A 21,343-nucleotide genomic window follows, 5' to 3' on the forward strand; every position below is an offset into this window, starting at 1 on the left:
TAAAAGTAGCCACACAGTTCCTTCAGCATTTTGCTTAGAAATTTCTTCTGCCAGATATCCTAGTTCATCACTCTTAAGCTCTGCCTTCCATAAAGCCCTTGGGCATGGACACAGTTCAGCCGAGTTCTTTGCCTCCTTGTAATAAGGATGACCTTTACTCCAGTTTTCAATAAGAGAGTCTTCATTTCCATCTAGACGTCATAAGAATGGTCTTTACCATCCCTATTTCTACCAGCCTTCTGGTCATGACCACTTAAGTAATCTCTAAGATGATTCAGACTTTCCTAAGCTATTCTCTTCTGAGCTCTCATCAGAATTGCCCTTAATGTTCCCTTCATGGCAACAGAAGCTTTTCTAGCATCTTCTTCTGAATTCTTCCAGCCTCCGCTCATTATCCAGTTGTTGTTATTGTTGTAGTTTTAAGATGGAGTCTCACTCTGTCGCCCAGACTGGAATGCAGTGGCATGGATCTTGCCTAACCACAACCTCTGCCTCCCAGGTTCAAGCAATTCTTCTGCCTCAACCTCCCAGGTAGCTGGGATTACAGGCGTGTACCACCATGCCCGGCTAATTTTTGTATTTTTAGTAGAGATGGGGTTTCACCATGTTGGCCAGGCTGGTCTCGAACTCCTGACCTCAGGTGATCCTCCCTCCTCAGCCTCCCAAAGTCTTGAGATTACAGGCATGAGCCACCGTGCCTGGCCCATTACTCAGCTCTGAAGTTGCTTCCACATATTCAGGTATTTGTTATAGCAACAGCTCCACTCCCAGTGCACATTTCCTGTCTCAGCTCCTTTTGTGTTACTGTAACAGAATACCTGAGACTGGGTAATTTGTAAAGAAGAGAGATTTATTTCTTATAGTGCTGAGGACTGAGAAGTCCCAGGTTGAAGAGCCTGCATCTTGCAAGGGCCTTCTTGCTGTGTCATTCCATGGTGGAAGGTGGAAGGGCAGGAGAGCATATGTGTAAGAGAAGGGGGCCAAACTCATCCTTTGATTAGGAGCCAACTCTCGTGATAACTAACCCACTCCTGAGATAATGCCATTAATCCATTCACGATGGTGGAGCCCTCATGACCTACTCACCTCTTAAAGGTCCCACCTCTCAACACTGTTCCATTGGGGATTAAGTTTCTGACACATGAACTTTGGAGGGCACATTCAACCCATAGCACTCCCTCACTCACGTTCAAATAGAAGTGAATTGTCACCAGGCTGCCTCCCTGGGACTCTGTGCTAGTGGACTAGGAGTGGAGGGGGGGATGCAGAGTAGGGCATGCAAGAATAGGACAGAGCTACATTACCCTAGAGAATGAACCTGAGGGTCCCTTCTGGCATTGCTTCTCAGTTTGAAAGTCAATAGAGTTTCTAGCTTGCTTCCCAAGATGATTGTTTCTGAGGCAGGGAGTGATAAGCCAAGGCGTACGTGAAGCCACAGCTTAAACGTGGTATTTCTTTCGAAGCCGGTTGCAAACCCTTTTAGGATAATTTAAGACAAGTGTCAGGACATGATGGAGTAGAATAACAAATGTCTTCACAGATTTTTAAACACAGTATTTCAAAAAAATCTTGAGCTTCTTCCAGCCAAGTCATCCAGACTCTTAGATAATGTGTTTGCTATTTTCTCTGCAGTTAGAAATATTTTGGTGGACATGGTTATGAAGCACTCACATCGCATTCCTTTTTTTTTTTTTTTTTTAGACGGAGTCTTGCTCTGTCACCCAGGCTGGAGTGCAGTGGCGCAACCTTGGCTCACTGCAACCTCCGCCTCTGGAATTCAAGCAATTCTCCTGCCTCAGCCTCCTGAGTAGCTGGGATTACAGGCGTCCACCACCATGCCCAGCTAATTTTCCTATTTTTAGTAGAGACAGGGTTTCACCATGTTGGTTAGGCTGGTCTTGAACTCCTGGCCTCAGGTGATCCACCCACCTTGGCCTCCCAAAGTGCTGGGATTACAGGCATGAGCCACTGTACCCGGTCTCACATCCCATTCTTAAAACCCGAAGAGGGACCCATAAAACTGGCCATGTCTCTTTCTCTCTACTTCTTCTTTTAAGACTAATTTCTGCAAAAAGATGACTTCTTTGATCTTGAACTCCTTCAGAGGGGCAAGCTAGAGTTAGACTATCATTGGCATCAATGGGGCATTTGGGAGGCAGTCAGAGTGTCTGGGTTTTTTGGGATAAAATCCCAATTCAAACTAAGTTAAAGCCAAAACGGATGCTGTTTGGCTCACAGAACTGGGGAGCACAAAGGTGGCTCCATGGATTCACATGTTGTCATCAGAGCTCTCTCTTTTCCAGTTCTTCTCTCTCTCTTTCTCTACATGGCCTCTTGCTCTTCCATGGAGGGACTTCATCTATGTGGCTCTGTAAAGGTGGTGGGGGTCATGGGCACAGACAAAGCCAGGATTACAGTGTAACCTTGCTTGTGGCAATCACAGAGGCTATAGAGAGCTTGAGTTTCTCAGGGTTTGCCTATAAAAAACCCAGGGCAGGGCTCTGATTGGTCCAGCCTAGATCACATGCATATCCCTGGGCCAATTAGAATAGTGAGGGAGATGGAATCTTGTGATTGGCCAGGCCTAGATTACTGCCTCTCTCTCTCTAAAGGGAGTGGTGGGCAAGTGTATGATCGACAGCTGAAGTGGAATCGCATGGGAAGAGGGGCAAGGTTCCAAAGGTAGGAAGAAGTCATTTACCAGATTGGGGAGAAGCATTGGGCAGAAAGAAACCAAAGATTTTTACCACCCATGAAAAGATATTCTCATAGGAGAAATGGGAAGTCACCCAATGATTTTTTATGGAGTTAGCACCAGGTTGGTGTGGGATTGTGTGACATAAACTCAGATCTTTACCTAAAACCAGGACATTTTATGGGTCTCCATATCCTCAGGGGACCCTATATTCCTTCTCAGGAGAATGTTAAAAATTAGAAAAGGAAGGATTTTCCAAGACCAGAGCATGACTGGTTCTGATTTCTCTATGTCTTAAGAGATTAAGGTGGGAGAATGTTCTGGAGCAAATGGCTCAGTCTTCTTCCAGTTTCAAATTTTGTGCATCCTTCAATGCATCTGACAATGCGGCTAGACTAACTGGGTATGTGGAGGAGATGGGCTAATGGATACAACTTTCCAAGTATTTAATAGCTTCCAGCCAGAGGCCACAAAGTGATGGCATGCTTTCTTTGGCCAGCACAGGGGTTAAGGGGGAAAAGAAATCAAATGCTTGCTAACGTTTGAGATATTGGAATATCTCACATGAAAGCCTGGATTTCCATCTTCTCTAGGTAAACCGGAAGGCATAGTCAAACTTGGCTATAGTTGGCTGGAGCTGAGGAGCAGCCCCTCTTAGATAAGTGTGTATACTCTAGTTTACCACAGTCTCCGCCACTCTGTCCCGCTACCCCAACCCACTTTATTCATTTATCCCATTATGTGTTTGGCCTAAGTAAGCATTTACCTTTGCAAGTCCTGTGTTTTACAACAACAAATTCCCTGAGCACAGTCACTGAAGAACCGGATATTTCTTTTTCTAACTTTGTGCCCTTAAGCAAGTTACTTTCTCTTTCTAAACCTTCTTTTATCTGCAACATAGGGATGAGATGCTTACTTTATTTAACCAATCCTTATGAGCACCTATTATTCTGAACACTGAGTTTACATCAGTGAGCAAATAGACTAAGTCCCTGATCTCATCGGGCTTAAAATCTAGTGTGGGGGAAACAAACATAAAGAGATAAATTGACAAATAGATGGTGGGGGCAGACAAAGGTAGGTGTTCTTGACCCAGGGAAGTGGGAGCACACACTGGGGAGACGATTAAATGTCATAATGTATCTAAATCGTTTAGTCCAGGAGTTGGAAAGCTACAGCTCCTGGGACCAATCTTTCTGCCACCTGCTTTGGTAAATAAAGTGTTATTGGAACACAGCCACTACACTCATTTACATATTACCTGAGCACTACAGACTGCTCTATGATGGCAGGGTTGAGCAATTGCGACACAGACTGTGTGACCCTCGGAGCCTCTAATTTTTACGATCTAGCCCTTTAGAGAAAAAGTTTGTGCAGCTACTGCCTTAGCCTAATGACTGGATAAATAGAAAGACCTCAGCTGGGTGCGGTGGCTCACGCCTGTAATCCCAGCACTTTGGGAGGCTGAGGCGGGTGGATCACTTGAAGTCAGGAGTTTGAGACCAACCTGACCAATAGGGTGAAACCCTGTCTCTATTAAAAATACAAAAATAAGCTGAATGTGGTGGCGTGTGCCTGTAGTCCCAGCTACTCGGGAGGCTGAGACAGGAGAATTGCTTGAACCTGGGAGGCGGAGGTTGCAGTGAGCCGAGATCATGCCACTGCACTCCAGCCTGGTGGCAGAGCGAGACTCCATCTCATAAAAAAAAGAAGGACCTCATTAAATCGCAACTTCTTCTTAGGAGTAGTGCAAATGACCTCCCTCCTTGACGGTTGGTTGCTGGCCCTCCAGTGCTGGAGCCTTTACCCGCTCACTGCACCTCCCTAACCCACCTGCCTTTTTCTTTGCCTGCCTAACAGGCATGCTCCTTATTTAGGGATTAGCCACAGTGAGACTTCCATGGAAAGTTGAATGTGGCCCTAATCGGGGGCAGGGTTGGGTTTGCCCACTGTCCCTGTCGGTGCATTAGATCAGGTTAATCAGACCAAATCACGTACAGGATTAGGCAGGCCACAGCTTGAAGCTTCATGGCAGAAAGGGCTGGATCGGTGTTGACTTCCATTTTTCAGTGGGGTGTGTGTGATGGGCTTGCTGAGGTTTTCTGTGGCTCATCAATGGTCTGCCCATGTGCCAGCTCCCACAGCCTGGCTGCCTCCCAGGGACCTTTGCTCTCAACTGCTTGGGGAGATTTGCTTATCCTGGGCGTCAGGGCACTCATCAGCACAGACCTCCAGCCAGGGTGGCCATAGGGAAAGAGCAGGTGGTGTGCAGAGATGTCAAACAACAGCAAAGGGTTCTGGGTGGGGAGCCACGCAGGCCAGCAGAGTCCTTGGGCCGGGCCTGCTTCACGGGCACATAGAGCTGGGCAGCCACACAGGACCCTGCACTAAAAAAGGCCCTGTGCTTGGTTTGATGCTCTGTGGTTTATGTCTTGAAATTCTTAATAAGTTTGGAGCATTTGCATTTTTATGTATTTATGTATTTATTTTTTGAGACGGAGTTTCACTCTTGTTGCCCAGGCTGGAGTGCAATGGCATGATCTCGGCTCACTGCAACCTCCACCTCCCAGGTTCAAGCAATTTTCCTGCCTCAGCCTCCTGAGTAGCTGGGATTATAGGGATGCACCACCACGCCTGGCTAATTTTTTTGTATTTTAGTAGAGACGGGGTTTCTCTATGTTGGTCAGGCTGGTCTTGAACTTCTGACCTCAGGTGATCCGCTGTCCTTGGCCTCCCAAAGTGCTGGCATTACAAGCGTGAGCCACCGTGCCCAGCCAACATTTGCATTTTTTACTAGGCCCTGAAAATTACAGAGCCAGTCCTGTCTTTGGGGTAGGAAACTGATTTGTATTTCAGTTGCTAAGGGGCCAGAGGGGGCGGGGCGCAGTGAGATGTCTGTGGGTGAGCTAGAGAGTTAGAAATGACCTGGTTTCCTAGCAGGCTTTAGAGCTCCTGGTTCCTGCCCTCATGACTCGCAGGGTTTTACAGGGAGTAATAATAATGTGGCTGAAGTTGGAGACAAAGAAGACCCTCCCTTCCTCCTTCGGCAGCTGATGGAGCAAGAGCAAGACAGCAGCAACTGCATCATTTATTGAGTGCCAGGTACTTTATATTCATCCTCTCATCCACTCCCACAATAACCCTGTGAGGTGGGCATCCTTGTTAAACTCATCTTGTAGGTACAGGATTTGAAGATCAACCAGGTGATAAATTTGCTAGAGGTCACTCAGCTAGTAATTATGTGGAATGGCCATCTAAGTTTAGAACATGAGGAAAATGTTATTAAATCTATTAAATCTCTTAGGTTTTACTTTTCTGGTCCGGAAAATGGAAACACTTAAAGCTACCTTGTAGTATTGTTGGAAGGATTGAGGAAGGGATGTACAGTGTCTAGCATACAGCATGTAATACACACTCACTAAATGATACCCATGGTGATGATGATGGTGAGGCTGGTGCTACTACCGCTGCTGATGGTGGTGGCGATAATGGTGATGGCAATGGTGGCGATGATGATGATAAAGGTGATGCTGCTGCTGCTGCTGTTAATGGTAGTGATGATGATGATGGTGATAATGATTATGATGGTGTTGATGGTGATGATGGTGATGATGGTGATAATAGTGATGGTGATAATGGTGGTGGTGGTGGTAACGGTGATGATGATGGTGGTAGAGATGGTGGTAATGATGGTGATGATAATGATGGTGATGATGATGATGGTAATGATGGTGATAATAGTGATGGTGATGATGATGGTGGTAATGGTGATGATGGTGGTGGTGGTGTTGGTGATGGTGAAGGTTACGATAGTGAGGGTGATGGTGGTGATGGTGATGGTGATGATGCTGATGGTGGTGATGGTGATGGTGGTAGTGATGGTAATGGTGATGGTTATGATAGTGATGATAATGGTGATGATGGTGATGGCAATGATGATGATGGTGATAATGTCAAAATATTGGACTGTTTCCAGCTCCAACTTTGCTGACTTATACCCACCCCCTGAAAGGGCATTTTGCCCCATGGAAAAAATAGAGCAATGTTCTTTTACTCCCTGAGTGTGTTCGCTTTCTATAGCTGCCATAATAAATTACCATAAACTGGGTGTATTAAAAGAAAACAGAAATGTACTCTCTTATAGTTCTGGAGGTCAGAAGTCTAAAAGCATGGTATTGGCAGGGCCTCTGGAGGCTCAGAGGGAAAAACCCGTCCTAGGCCTTTCTCCTCACTGTTGGTGGCTCCTGGCAATCCTTGGTATTTCTTGGCTTGTAGACTTATCACTCCCATCTCCACCTCCATCTTCACATGGACTTCTCTGTGTGTCCTTTCCCATCTCTTACAAGGATACTCTCATTAGATTTAGGCCCTACCCTAATCCAGGATAATCTCATTTCTATCTTTACCTTAATTATATCCACAAAGACCCTATTTCCAAATAAGGTCACATTCTGAGGTTGACGTGAACTTTAAGGAGGCACAACTCAACCTACTGCCTTGACGTAGGTCAATGAAAGTCCAAGGAAATGACTGGAGACATGTCACGTCCCCACCAACACCAGGCCTCCTGCAGCACTGACCGGCCCCTTCTGCTCCTGTGTGCTCCCCTGATGGCTGTCACAGTGACTGTTGTTTGGTGCCATGGAATCTGACCAACTCCTCCATGGCACCTCTTTGAATGTCTGAGGGCAATGACTCACCCAGGAGTCTTTCTGGTGTGTGATGATGGTGATGGACTAGAGAGTTAGTGGGTGAGTCCAGCCGGAGCTCCTGGGCTGCTGGATCACAACTGTGGCCTCTGGAAAATGGAAGCGGCAGCTTGGGGCCCCACCATTCCAAATCCCAGGGGTGTTTGAGGCACAGAGACTGTGGGGTAGAGATGCTGTGTCCAGCAGCAGTGGACTGCTTTTGCTCTTTCCTTTCAATAACAATTTGGAAAAGAAAATTGGAGTTAGCCATCATCACGGGCAAGCAGAGACAGATCCAGGGAGCTAAACCCTCTGTGTCGCCTTCCTGGAAGCATTTAGAGAATTCAGACCTACACGTTGAAGTGCCTATAGACCAGGGGAAGCCCGTTCCGACGTGGACAAAACTTCTTGAGTTTATCCTACCGCAGTGACAGGAGGGTGTTTGTGCATCATGAAACAGGAAGGAGATTGTGGGTAAGAGAGAAAGGGCCACTCCTACTGTCTGGTATGAGATTAATTCCAAGGTAACCACTCACCCTTTAGTAAGAGTGAGAGGAACAACTCTATTGAAAAAGGAGTTTTCCCCACTCTCTACCGTTTCACCCCCAATGCCAACCCCATGAGTCTTCCCTGTCTCCTGAGGTGAGAAAGAGCAGCTGAGAGCCGCACACACTATTTTTAGAAAGAAAACCATACAGAGGGTGCTGTGTTGGAGAAACGCTTTGGGTGCATGAGGTTGGGGAGAAGGACCTGAGAATGTGGGGAAGGGGCGGGGCAGGAAAGTGACTGAGGATAGGACAGTTCTATGCCTCTGTTTGGGAGCTGGGGGCCTCTGAGGGGTCCCCCCTCCATCAGCATCTTGACCCCAGGTTCTGGAGAGTGCCAAGGCTTTGGGCACCAGATGGAAGTTGCTGATGGTTCTGACGAAAGCCAATGGTTTCTTTGCAAAGAGAACTTTTCTTCATAAAAATAGAATTTGCTGGTTTTACTAGTTAGAAAAGACAAACATGGGTGGACAGAGGGGAGGGTTGAGCCTTTCCATTGTGAGCTAACATAAATGGAAACCTATGCTTTTAGCACCTCCAACAATGATGCTGAGAAGAAAAATAGGGAAGAAGGAAGGAAAAGGGGAGGGAGAGAGGGAGGGAAGGGGGGAGGGAAGGGGGGAGGGAAGGGGGAGGAAGACAAAGAAAGGAGGAGTAGAAAAGACCAAAACATAGGCTGGGCGTGGTGGCTCACGCCTGTAATCCCAGCACTTTGGGAGGCCGAGGCGGGTAGATCACGAAGTCAGGAGATCGAGGCCATCCTGGCTAACACGGTGAAACCCTGTCTCTACTAAGAATATAAAAAAAATTAGCCGGGCATGGTGGTGGGCGCCTGTAGTCCCAGCTACTTGGGAGGCTGAGGCAGGAGAATGGTGTGAACCTAGGAGGCGGAGCTTGCAGTGAGCCGAGATCTCGCCACTGCACTCCAGCTTGAGAACAGAGAGAGACTCCGTATCAAAAGAAAAAAGAAAAAAAAAAGACCAAAAGATAAAGAAACAATGATCATTTTATTTATTATGATTATGATTATAAGACAGGGTCTTGTTCTGTTGCCTAGGCTGGGGTGCAGTGTTGTGATCATTGCTCACTGCAACCTCCATCTCATAGGCTCAAGCAATCTTCCTACTTCAGCGTCCTGAGTAGCTGAGACTACCGATGCACAAACCATGCCCAGATAATTTTTTACTTTTTTGTAGAGACAGGGTCTTACCATGTTGCCCAGGCTAGCCTTGAACGCCTGGCCTCAAGCAATCCTCCCACCTCAGCCTTCCAAAGTGCTGGGATTACAGGAGTGAGCCACCAGGCCCGGCCTGCGCCCAATTATTAACATGATCTTCTGTGCAAGGAAAAAAAAAAAAAGCCATCAAGTTTTTTTAACTCTTGAATATCAAACTTCTTCAAGTATCGTAATAAAAGTAAATAATAATAATAATTAAAAGAAAAACAATGAAAGAGAAAAGGGAAGGAAGAGAAAAGAACAGTGTGTCTGAGCATCACTGGAAGGAGATGCCGTGGATGCGGAATCCCTTCCAGGCCACGGAAAGCAGCAGGCTGAGCAGCTCAGGTCGGGGAGCGCATGCAAAGGCCCAGGGGTGGCAGAGAATGTGGTGTGTTTAAGGAACAGAGAGAAGCATGGCTCAGCCTGGTGGGTGGGGGAGAGTGGGACCAGACGGGCTTGGAATGGGCTGGATCTGGGACCAGGCAGGAAGATGAGGCAGGCAAAGTAGAGAATGGCAGACCCAGAGCGCGTCTGCCTCCTGGAGGCTGGCGGCTGCTCCTCAGCATGAACCAGTGCAGCTACGGGGCGTGTGGGCTCCGCGTGGTCAGATTTTCTACTTCATGACTGGGGCGGGGTGGGTGGGGGGCGGTGGTGGTGGAATCCCAATTGCTGCATGAAGTCTCATGTCTTTTAGACGCTGGCTTCACGTAGAAAGATGAAGATAGACTTTGCAGACTGAACGGGGACTGTGGGCTAGAATCAACTCAGGGGACATCAGTTGCAATGCTGAGACTTGCTCCAGGCCTCTGATCGAAGTGGACCACGGACTTGGTCATTATGGGATGGTTCTGGAGCTCACCAATGATCATCTTTCCGTCCATCCCCACCAGAGCTGGGCCAAGTCTTAGGAACAATCCTTTGCTTCTTGGTTTGTGAAGCTGGCCCAGGGACTTAATCCAAACAAGGGCACAGCCAGAAGGAAAAGGGCGTGTCTTCCTGAAAAAGACTTGAATAAAGGGATCCTATTCAAGGCCGGAAAAGGCCAGTGTTGAAGCGCGTGGCAGCCTGTCCAGGCAGGTCTGAGTGCGCAGTGACCTCTTACAGGAGGGGGCTGTGCTGCTTGAAAGTTCACCGCTCCTGCCCAGGAAGGAATCTCTTCAAGCAAAACCTGACACATTTGGTTGCAGTCTCTGCTTGGATGCTGCACAAATTGGTTACCCTTCCTTCGGGTATTATGAGAAGGGCCCTCCTGGGTACATCTGGTTCATCCCCTGCCTCCAGCATGGAGAGCTGAAACTCGGTCCAGAAGAAGAGGCTGCAACAGATGTATTGAAAAGCGTGCTCATTCATTTTCACTTAAGAAATGATTGATGTCTGACTGAGCTGCAGAAAGAATGGGAGGATTAGGCAAGACTTTTTGTTGTAAGGCTCAGGAAGTACACTCAAACTGGGTTGAACAAACAAAATAAGAACGGATTGGCTCATGTCACTGGAAAGTCAGTCCATGGGTACTAAAGTCCCTTGACTCTGATTTTTATGAAGACAGCTTCCTTCCCAGTCACCCGCAACTCTACACTCAGTTTCTAGCCAAGTAAACTCAGCAGACAGAGTATCCAGCCAAAAATCCCAGGGCTGACTCTTAGTGGTCCAGCTTGGTCATGTGCCCATTGGTGAACCAATCACTGTGACTCTGACTGTTTTGCCCTAATTCAAGATTCTGCCCCAAGCCAGGGGAGAGGGTCAAACCCTGTAGGACCACATGGACCAAAAGTAAGGGACGAATGGTTTCTCCAGAGCAAGTCAAACACCATTATTAGAAGCAGCAGGAATGGCTGTTGTCATGGCCACACAACTGGTAAAAAGCAGATTCCCTTGCTGTTGTTGTTTTTGAGGCAGGGTCTTGCTCTGTCTCCCAGGCTGGAGTGCAGTGGTGCAATCTCAGCTCACTGCAATCCACCTCACGGGTTCAAGTGATTCTTGTGCCTCAGCCTCCCAAGTAGCTGGGATTAGAGGCATGTGCCACCACGCCCGGCTAATTTTTTTTTTTTTTTTTTTTTTTTTTTTGGTAGAGACAGAGTTTCACCATGTTGGCCAGGCTGCGTATCCTGGTTTTGAGCCTAGGTCTGAATGAGAATAGACTCATGTTTTTAATTTGGGAGTTCGAGAATGGGTGGATCTAGGGATTTAAACAACATCCACGTGACCTGGCCTGCCTTTCTCTCTCTCTCTCCCCTGCCTCCCCATTACTCCTCTCTGCTTTCTACTGGTTGGTTACTTCCTCAGGCACTTTTTTTCCCCCTCTGTGGCAGCCACGAGCAGTTCAGGATTTATGACTACCAGTTTAGCAACCTCAGTGGAAAGAAATTTGTCGTTTCCAAAATAGCAAAAAAACAACAAAACAAAACAAAAAATAACCCAGGGCTGATTCTCATTGGGCTGACTTTGGCCACATGTCCATCCCTGAACCAATCACTGTGACCTGTGGTGGAATACACTGACTGGCTGTGCTTATGCCATGTGCCAGCCCTGGAGCAGGGACTTAATTCCTACCCGAATAGATGCACAGGAGGATGAGGATGGAGTGGCTTCCCTAAGGCAGATTGAGATGCTGTTCCGAGAGGAGGGAGATGCAGACCATCTGAAATTACAGACATCCTCTTTGGAGAGGGGTGAGCACGCACTGGTGGGGCCCCAGCCCTTCAGAGCACTGGAACGCCATGCTTGGCAGCCGGGCTTGGTTGGCAGAGCTGCAGCTCGGGAGTCAGGACCTTAGACTGTCAACCACAGAGATTTATCCAGTGCCTGTTACGGGCCTTATGCAGGAAATTCCGTAACCCCAAAGTCTTCTGGATGTTTAATTTGGCAGAACTGGAGTTTCCAGGAGCAAGTGTGTTTGACAGAGAATGGGGACCGTCCCTCAGGAGACACTGGTACCCGGCATGGCAGGAAAAGAGTTTTACAGCTCTGCTGTGTTTCATAAGGTTTAAGAAGAGTAACGCATTAGCCGGGTGTGGTGGAGTACGCCTGTAGTCCCAGCTACTCGGGAGGCAGAAGAATTGCTTGAACCCAGGAGGCGGAGGTGTAGTGAGCTGAGATTGTGCCACTGCATTCCAGTCTGGGTGACAGAGCGAGACTCCGTCTCAAAAACAAACAAAAAACAACAACAACAACAACAAAAAAGAGTATTTCTTGCTGGGTGCAGTGGCTCACGCTTATAGTCCCAGCACTTTGGGAGGCCGAGGCAGGTGGATCACTTGAGGTCGGGAGTTGGAGACCAGCCTGGCTGACATGGTGAAACCTCGTCTCTACTAAAAATACAAAAATTAGCTGGGCGTGGTGGTGGGCACCTGTAAGCTACTCAGGAGGCTGAGGTAGGAGAATCACTTAAACCTGGGAGGTGGAGGTGGCAGTGAGCCGAGATCGCACCACAGCACTCCAGCCTGGGTGATAGAATGAGACTCCATCTCAAAAAAAAAAAAAAAGAAAAAGAAAACAAAAGTAATACTTTCTATTTGCACATCACTTGGTGTTTTTAAAAGCTGTTGAAATTTGGGAACTCAGAGGAGCCTCATAACAGTCTGTGGGTACCAGAGCCTGGAAGATCAGCCCCATTTACAGAGGGGGACACTGAGAGGGTATGTGATGAGGTGCAGGTTATTGGGAGACCTAGGCTGGGAACCTGCTCACCTGCCCCTTAGCGGCACCCACTTTTCCTATCTAACCTCAGCATGAGCCCTGGACGCAGAGAGCCTGAGTGAACTGCCAGTGCAAGCTCCTCCTTAGCTGTGTGATATTGGGCTCTCTGCCTTGGTTGCCTATTCTGTGAAATGAGTCAACGGGGGCACCTACATAGTGGGATTGTGGTAGAGGTTAAATGAGTTATTATGTGGAAAACCTTAGTTTCATGCTTGGAATATGGCAAATACCATTAATCTTAATAATGCATCAGGTAGAAATTAGAGTCAATTACTTCTAGGGTTTATTTTCTCAGACGATGCCAGAGATGGGCAGTCAGTGGCACTCAGAGGCTCAGTGGTGCCAGCGCTGACGTGGCTATGTTTCCTTTGGCCTTTTTCTTCAGTCCCAAGATGGCTGCTCCTGCTCCAGCCATCATATTTGTATTCCAGCCAAAAAGAATGAGGAGTGGGGAGTCACAAAAGGGCCCACCTCCCATCTGAGTCAGCCCCTTAAAGAACTCTCATGGGCGCCCCACCCACTGCCTTCTGCTTATGCATGGATGGCCATGCACATTGTAAAGGAAGTGCAGAAATGTAGTCCTTTGGCCAAACTCATCTCAGGATTCAAAAACTTAGGATTTCTGTTAGAGAAGAGGAAGGAGAATAAATAGTGTGAAGGCATCCAGCAATCTCTGCTACAGAGTTTTTTGTTTTTCATTTTCTGAAGACCCTTTTATGACCTGTTAGACATCACTATGTGTAATGGTTTAGAGCAGGAGTTACAAAGTAACATACCTACAGGCGGATGTCCTCACATGCATGAGGGAGGCTTCAGAGGCAGAGAGGTAATAGGGAGTGGTGGGGACTGGAGCAAAGTGGAGAGCTCATGCCTCATCTGTAGGTGGCTGCCAATGAGAACCAGCTAGTTTTGCATAAAAAAGAGAAGCCCAGTGTTATGAGAGCTTTTTATTTTTAATGAAAAGTGGATATACCTTAATTTTAGATGAGATCAGCTAGGTGCAGTGGCTCATGCCTGTAATCCCAGCACTTTGGGAGGCCGAGGCGAGTGGATCACCTGAGGTCAGGAGTTCGAGACCAGCCTTACCAACATGGTGAAACTCCGTCTCTACTAAAAATACAAAATTAGCCGGGCATGGTAGTGGGCACCTGTAATCCCAGCTACTCAGGAGGCTGAGGCAGGAGAATCATTTGAACCCAGGAGGCGGAGGTTGCAGTGAGCCGGGATTGCACCATTGCACTTCAGCCTGGGCGACAGAGCAAGACTCAAAAAAAAAAAAAAATTTAGATGAGATCTGATTTTTAGGTAATGATAATGATTTCAAATTTACTGAAAAAAATTATATGAACTAAATAACACAAAATTGTGGGCATGAACTTACTTGGGGCTGATTCTTTGTCCTTTCTTTCTTTCTTTCTTTCTTTTTTTTTTTTTTTTGAGATAGAGTTTCGTTCTTGTCACGCAGGCTGGAGTGCAGTGGTGCGATCTTGGCTCACTGCAACCTCCACCTCCCAGGTTCAAACGATTCTCCTGCCTAAGCCTCCTGAGTAGCTGGGATTAGAGGTGCCCACCACCACGCCCATAGAGATAGGGTTTCACCATGTTGGCCAGGCTAGTCTCGAACTCCTGACCTCAGGTGATGCGCCTGCCTTGGCCTCCCAAAGTGCTGGGATTACAGGCATGAGCCACTGCGCCAGGCCAAGGGCTGATTCTTCTTTTAAAGTCAGTTTTATTGAGGTCTAAGTTATACACAACAAAATTAACCCTTTTTAGTTGTACAGTTCTATGAATTTTGCAACACATGCCGTTGTGTGACCATGGTCACAATCAAGCTATAGAACATTTCCACCCCCCTCTAAAATTCCCTTGTGTTGCTTTTTAGTCAGTCACCACCCCTAGCCTCAGCCCATGGCAACTAGTGATCTTTTATCTGTCCCTACAGTTTTGCCTTCTCCAGCAGGTCATATAAGTGCGATCAGTCAGGAGGCAGCCTTTTGAGTCTGGCCCCTTTTGCTCAGTACAATGGACTGGAAATTCTTCCATGCTGCGGTGTGCTGGTTTTGTATTGTTGAATAGCTTTCCACTGTGTAGGTATACCACAGTTCAACCATTCATCTGTTGATGGACATTTGGTTTGTTTCCAGTTTTTGGCAATTATGAATTAAGCTACTCTAAACATTCACGGACAGGTTTTTGTATGAACATCTGTTTCTGTTTATCTTGGATAAATATCTAAGGTATATCTAGGATGTTTTCCAAGGTGCCGGGGCAATTCTGCACCCCACATGCGGTCTTCAGGGGTTCCAGTTTTTCATATCTGCACCAGCACTTGGGATTGCCAAGTGTCTTTTTTCAGAGGGGCATGTTTTGTTGGTTTAGGCATATTCTAGTATGTAGTGGTATCTTTCTGTGGTTTCAACTTGCAGTTTTCTAATGACTAATAATGTTGAGCATCTTTTCATTAGTCTATTGGCCATCCATATATATTCTTTAGTAAGGCTGTTAAAAGAAAAACTTCAGCTGAATTAAATTTAAAGGAGTTTGAGCAATGAACGATTTGCGAATTGGGCAGCCCCCAGAATCACAGCAGACTCAGACAGACTCCAGGGTGCCTCGTGGTCAGACCCAATTTATAGCCAAAAAAAAAAAAAAAGAAAGAAAGAAAAAGAAATGGCGTATGGAAATCAGAAGTGAGGTACAGAAACAGCTGGATTGGTTACAGCTCGTCCACCTTATTTGAACACAGTTTGAACGCTCGGCAGCGTAAAGGTGGCTGAAGCATGTCTGCTGGCATTGCCAAGACTCAGCAATTGTTACAGGTGCCTCCTCCTAAGTTAGGTTTTCAATCTCATCTACCCATTAAATTAGGTTATGGTTCATCCGTAAGGGCTCAAATATAGAAGTATGGAGTCCTTCTCGGCTGTATTTCGTTCCCTTTAACAAGGTATTGGTTCAAATATTTTGCCAATTTTTAATTGAGTTATTTGTTTTCTTATTACTGTCTTGTGAGGGTTATTTATATATTCTCCATTCCAGTCCTCTATCAGATATGCGTTTTGCAAATATATTTTCACAGTCTGTGGCTTGTCTTTTCATTTTTGTAACAGTGTCTCTCGAAGATAGAAGTTTTTCGTTTTAAGTCCAATTTATCAATTTGTTCTTTACAATTTATGCTTTTTGTGTTCTATCTTAAAAAAACCTGTGCCTAATCCAAAGTTATGAAGATTTTCTCCTATGTTTTCTTCTAGAAGTTTTATTTATTTATTTATTTATTGAGGTGGAGTTTTGCTCTTGTTGCCCAGGCTGGAGTGCAGTGGTGCAATCTCTGCTCATTGCAACCTCCACCTCCCAGGTTCAAACGATTCTCCTACTTCAGCCTTCTGAGTAGCTGGGATTACAGGTGCCCCCCACCATGCCTGGCTAATTTTTTGTATTTTTAGTAGAGATGGGGTTTCATCATGTTGACCAGGCTGGTCTCAAACTCCTGACCTCACGTGATCCACCCGCCTTAGCCTCCCAAAGTGCTGGGATTACAGGCATGAGCCACTGCGCCCAGCCTGTAGTTTTAACTTTTACACTGAGGTCTATGATCGATTTTAACTTAAAAAAAATTGAAATATGGGTTGAAGTTCATTTTTTGTGTATGGGTGTCCAACTGTTCCAGCACCATTTGTTGAAAGACTTTCCTTTCTGCATTGAATTGCTTTGACACTATTATTGAAAATCACCTGGCATTAAATGTATGGGTCTCTTTCTGAACTCTCTGTTCTGTTCCACTGATCCATGTGTCCTTGCTTTTGTCAATACCACACTAGTGCCTGCACCTGGTAAGTACCGTATCAATGTTAGTTAGCGCTTGCCATATTTTATCATTTAAAAAAAATAAACTTTTAATTTTGGAATTTCTTTACTTGGAAAATTTATTTTTGAATAATAATATGATGGAAAAGTTTGCAAATCTAGAACAGAGATTTATATCCTCATATCCTTCTTCTCACAGCTAGCTTCTCCTAGCATTAACGTTTTACATATCCATGGTATTTTTTATCAAAGCGGACACATTCACATTGGCACAGTACTATTAGCTAAGCTGTTTATTTGAGTGTCACCAATTTTCCCATTAGTGGCTGTTTTTCCTGTTCCAGGGTCCATTTCAGAATACCACATTGCATCGAACCGTGGGTTTTTAAGATGCGTCTTTCAACAGCTCTGTAATCAGGGTGCATCTTACAGTCCATGGTGTTTTACACATTGATAGCTAGGTTTTTCTTTTTCATAGTGGCATATTAAATTAGAGTATGCCTTAGATTTAATGAAATAGGGTATTATTATTACTTGATCTCCTTAAACCTCAACTTCTTCATCTGTAAAATGAAAATAATGCTAGGACTCACCTCATAGAGATGTGGAAAGATAAAATGAGAGCCACCAAAGGAAGTGCCTCGATAGAGGTTGGCACATGAGCCCTTGTTAATTAATGGTGGCATTAAACCCAAGCGTAAGCTCTATCCAAAGTGTGCTCCTGGGGGTCAGTGAGCGCGCCTCTCCTTGCCTTTCCCTACATCGAAGAAATGCCTGGAGCTGGATTTCTTAGCAGCTGTCCTTCAAACAAGAGCCCACAGGAATAGCTACCAATTAAAATAACAAAGTTTCAGGTGACAACATTTGCAGAAGAAGCTGCACATGTTTAATAAAAGCCCAGTTGCTGGGAGGCTCAGACGGCTACCTCTTCCGGGAGATCCGAAGCCGCATTTCAAGTCTGCCAGCAAATTTGCTTTCATTAGAACAAGACCCTGGCCCTTTCTCCTCGGAATGTCTGGGCCCAGGCCTCTTGTCCTGGGTCCCTTCTCTCTTTTTTTGCTTTCACTTTCTGAAATACATTCGCTTGTTTTCTTGGCTTGAGCTTTTAAAAAATTATACAAGCAACACATCTGTTACGGATATGGTAGAAAATTGAGATGAAAGGAAAAATGTAAAAGAGGCCTGTAATTTCATCACTCAGAGATCGTCACTGGATACAAAGCATTTTTCTTTCTTTTCCTGATTGTTAAAATATGCACTAACTGTAAAATAAGTTAGAAATTATAGAAAAAGCATAAAAGCAAAACATTCTCTTCTCATCTCACCATCCAGGTTACCAATGTGTAACATGCACCCTTTCCAAAATGTTCATGTCTATGCTTTCATATGTACTTAAAAATATTGCAAGTTGCAGTACCTGGGGCAGGCTTTGGGGGTAGGCCACTTGGATTCAAATTTTGTCTCTGTCGCCAACTAGCCGTGAGCAGCCTATGTGACTTCTCTGGGTCTCGGTTTCCCTATCTGTGAAATAGGAATATCATTAGAACCTACTTCAGTTATTGAGAACATGACCTGAGATACAGTACATAAAAGTCCTTAGCTGGCTGGGTGTGGTGGCTCACACCTGTAATCCCAGGACTTTAGGAGGTAGGAGAATTCCCATGAGCCCAGGAGTTCAAGACCAACTTGGGCAATATGGCGAAACCCCATCTCTACAAAAAATGAAAATATTAGCCAGGTGTGGTAGTGTGCACCTGTGGTCCCAGCTACTTGGGAGACTGAGGTGGGAAGATTGCCTGAGCCAAGGAGGCGGAGGTTGCAGTGAGCTGAGATTGCACCATTGCACTCCAGCCTGGGCAACAGAGTGAGACCCTGTCTCCAAAAAAAAAAAAAAAAAAAAAAGAAAGAAAGAAAAGAAAAAAGTCCTTACACATGATGCTTCATACAGAGTGAGCCTTGAAAAATGGCCGTGATGACTGGTGTGCTTGTTTCCAATTGCTGCCTCACAAATAACCACACGAACTCGGTGGCTTAAAACAACACTGTCGATTATTTCACATTTATGAGCTCACTGCTTTCATGGCAAAAGATTCCAGGCACGGCTTAACTGGATCCTCAGCTCTGGGTCTCACAAGGCTTCAGTCAAGATGTTGGCTGAGGCTGGGATCTCCTCTGGAGGCCCAGGGTCCTCTCCCAAACAGATGTGGTTATTGGCAAAGTTCATCTTGCTGCAGCTGCAGAACTCATGGAGGCCTGGTTCTTCCAGGATAGCAGAAGCATGGCTGCTACTATGAACCTTGCCCTTCTTCCTTCTCTGATCTCTAGAGCTTCTTTCAAAAGGTTCACCTGGGCTGGGTGTGGTGCCTCGCGCCTGTAATCCCAGCATTTTGGGAGGCTGAGGTGGGTGGATCATGAGGTCAGGAGATCGAGACCATCCTGACCAACATGGCGAAACCCTGTCTCTACTGAAAATATGAAAAGTAGCTGGGCATGGTGGGGTGCGCCTGTAGTCCCAGCTACTTGGGAGGCTGAGGCAGGAGAATCGCTTGAACCCGGGAGGTAGAGGTTGCAGTGAGCTGAGACCGTGCCACTGCACTCCAGCCTGGCGACAGAGCAAGACTCCATCTCAAAAAAAAAAAAAAAGAAAAGAAAAGAAAAGAAAAAGGCCCACCTGATGAGGTCAGGCCCACCTAGGATCATCTCCCTTTGATGAACTCAAAGGCAATTCCTACAGTACCTTAATTACAGAACAAAATCTTTTCATCTTTGTCCTAGAACATAATCACAAAATCACAAGAGTGACATCCTGTCATATTCAAGGTCCTGCCCACACCAAGGGAAGGCGGTTATCCAGGACATGAACCACAAGGGGAGGGAATCTTGGGGCTGTCTTAGAATTCTGCTTACCATAACTAGTACTCATAGGGCCTTCCCGTCACCTTGTGTTTTAGTTTGGGGGCAAACTAAAGGGACTTAATCTGTTTCCAGGGATTTCGTACTTGGTAAAGACCATCCCCTCTATCTGACCAAGCACTGGAATTGAATGTTGTTATGGTTTGGATCTGTGGCTGGGGAGGCCTTAGGAAACTTTCAATCATGGTAGAAGGTGAAGGGAAAGTGGGCATGCCTTACTTACATGGCCAGAGCATGAGGGTTATTTGTAATTCCCAGTGTTGTAGGCGGGACCTGGTGGAAGGTGATCGGATCATGGGGGCAGAGTTCCCCTTTGGTGCTGTTCTCGCGATAGTGAGCTATGGTGAGATCTGGTTGTTTAAAAGTGTGTCGCCCCTCCCCCTTCTCTTTCTCCTGCTCCAGCCATGTAAGGTGCCTGCTTCTCCTTCACCTTCTGCCCTGATTGTAAGTTTCCTGAGGCCTCCCCAGCCATGCTACCTGCACAGCCTGTGGAACTGTGAGCCAATTAAACCTCTTTTCTTCATAAATTACCTAGTTTCATGTATTTCTTTATAGCAGTGTGAGAACAGACGAATACAAACATGCTGTTGAATGCATGAACAAGTAGCTGAATTCTAAAAACACTGATGAGTAACTAGTTCATTCATTCATCCCACAAGTAATGACTGCACCCCTGGGACCCCTGTGCTTAGTGCTGAAACATATAAACTCACGTGCGTACTAAAGACGGTGGGATCTCTTAGGAGCACTTACTCCACCCAAGTGCTGCTGTTGGGGTGTTCCTTGAATTAGCTCATGTATGCTCACGACAACCCCCTAGTATGATCCCCATTTTGCAGAGAAATTGATGTGAAGAGAGATCGTTTAACCTGGCCAAGACTGTACAGCTAAAAAGCAGCAAGGCTGAGATAGGATCCAGACATTTTAGCTCCAGAGCCCACGCACATCACCACCCTCTACCTTGTGAGCCGCACTCTCTCGCAGGCATGGTCTCTTGGCTTGGAGGTGAACAAGCTCCTTTCCTCTGCTATGACTGCCTGTCTCTGGACTCTCTCTGGACTGATGGGAGGGAGAGGTGGGAGGGTAGACCTGCTGGCAAGCAAAGGCCACAGAGAAAGTGGCCTCGGGTCCCCTGGGCCGAGGGGGCAGACCTGAGCCATGGACAGGGAGATTTCAGGGATCCCAGTGACCACGTCCTCTGCCCCTGGCAGGAGACCCTCTGAAGGAAAGGATCAAAGGGAAAGGGTTGGAACTTCTCCCCCCAGGGTGACACAGGGCAGCCACGTCCCTGTTTATCCACTCAGCAGATCTGGCCAGTTCTAAGTGTTTTCTGTCCATCAAAAATACACCCTACTTGTGGAAAGTGGGGCTAATGTCAGTCTTTGCCTTCCAGGGTTGCAGGTGGGACCACATGAGATCATGCACATGAAGTGCTTAACACCTTATCTCAAAGATGGTAAGCCTGGGTACAATTTACACTACTCAGGTGACAATGATACTTCACCACTGCACACTATGTTATCCGCATAACACAAATGCACTTGTACTCATTAAATCTATAACAATAAAAAAAATCTTTAAAAAGAAGATGGTAAGCTCTCGGAAATTGTGAGTTACAATTCGTGAGCAACATGGCTTTCCTCTTCCTACAAAGACAATGGCCCTGGCAGAGGCTGTTCGGCCCCTCTCCCGCTCAGGCCCCACCCTCCTCCAGCGCCACTGCTCCCTGCAAACATGCAGGTGTCCTTCAAACCCTCGGGGTTCCCTAGGTCCCTGTGCCTGGAAC

At 46.4% G+C, this 21,343-nt stretch overlaps 3 annotated features.

Annotated features, from left to right (window-relative positions):
* Nucleotides 4,322–4,925: an enhancer, noted in NCBI's record as "H3K4me1 hESC enhancer chr20:55334559-55335162 (GRCh37/hg19 assembly coordinates)". NCBI's record gives its function as "activates a minimal SCP1, AML or CMV promoter by ChIP-STARR-seq in primed H9 embryonic stem cells {active_cell/tissue: H9 hESC(primed)}" and the evidence as "EXISTENCE:reporter gene assay evidence [ECO:0000049][PMID:30033119]".
* Nucleotides 4,926–5,528: an enhancer, noted in NCBI's record as "H3K4me1 hESC enhancer chr20:55335163-55335765 (GRCh37/hg19 assembly coordinates)". NCBI's record gives its function as "activates a minimal SCP1, AML or CMV promoter by ChIP-STARR-seq in primed H9 embryonic stem cells {active_cell/tissue: H9 hESC(primed)}" and the evidence as "EXISTENCE:reporter gene assay evidence [ECO:0000049][PMID:30033119]".
* Nucleotides 20,134–20,983: an enhancer, noted in NCBI's record as "H3K4me1 hESC enhancer chr20:55350371-55351220 (GRCh37/hg19 assembly coordinates)". NCBI's record gives its function as "activates a minimal SCP1, AML or CMV promoter by ChIP-STARR-seq in primed H9 embryonic stem cells {active_cell/tissue: H9 hESC(primed)}" and the evidence as "EXISTENCE:reporter gene assay evidence [ECO:0000049][PMID:30033119]".

The sequence above is a fragment of the Homo sapiens genome, chromosome 20, assembly GCF_000001405.40.
Source record: "Homo sapiens chromosome 20, GRCh38.p14 Primary Assembly".
In the NCBI taxonomy this organism is placed as follows: Eukaryota; Metazoa; Chordata; class Mammalia; order Primates; family Hominidae; genus Homo; species Homo sapiens.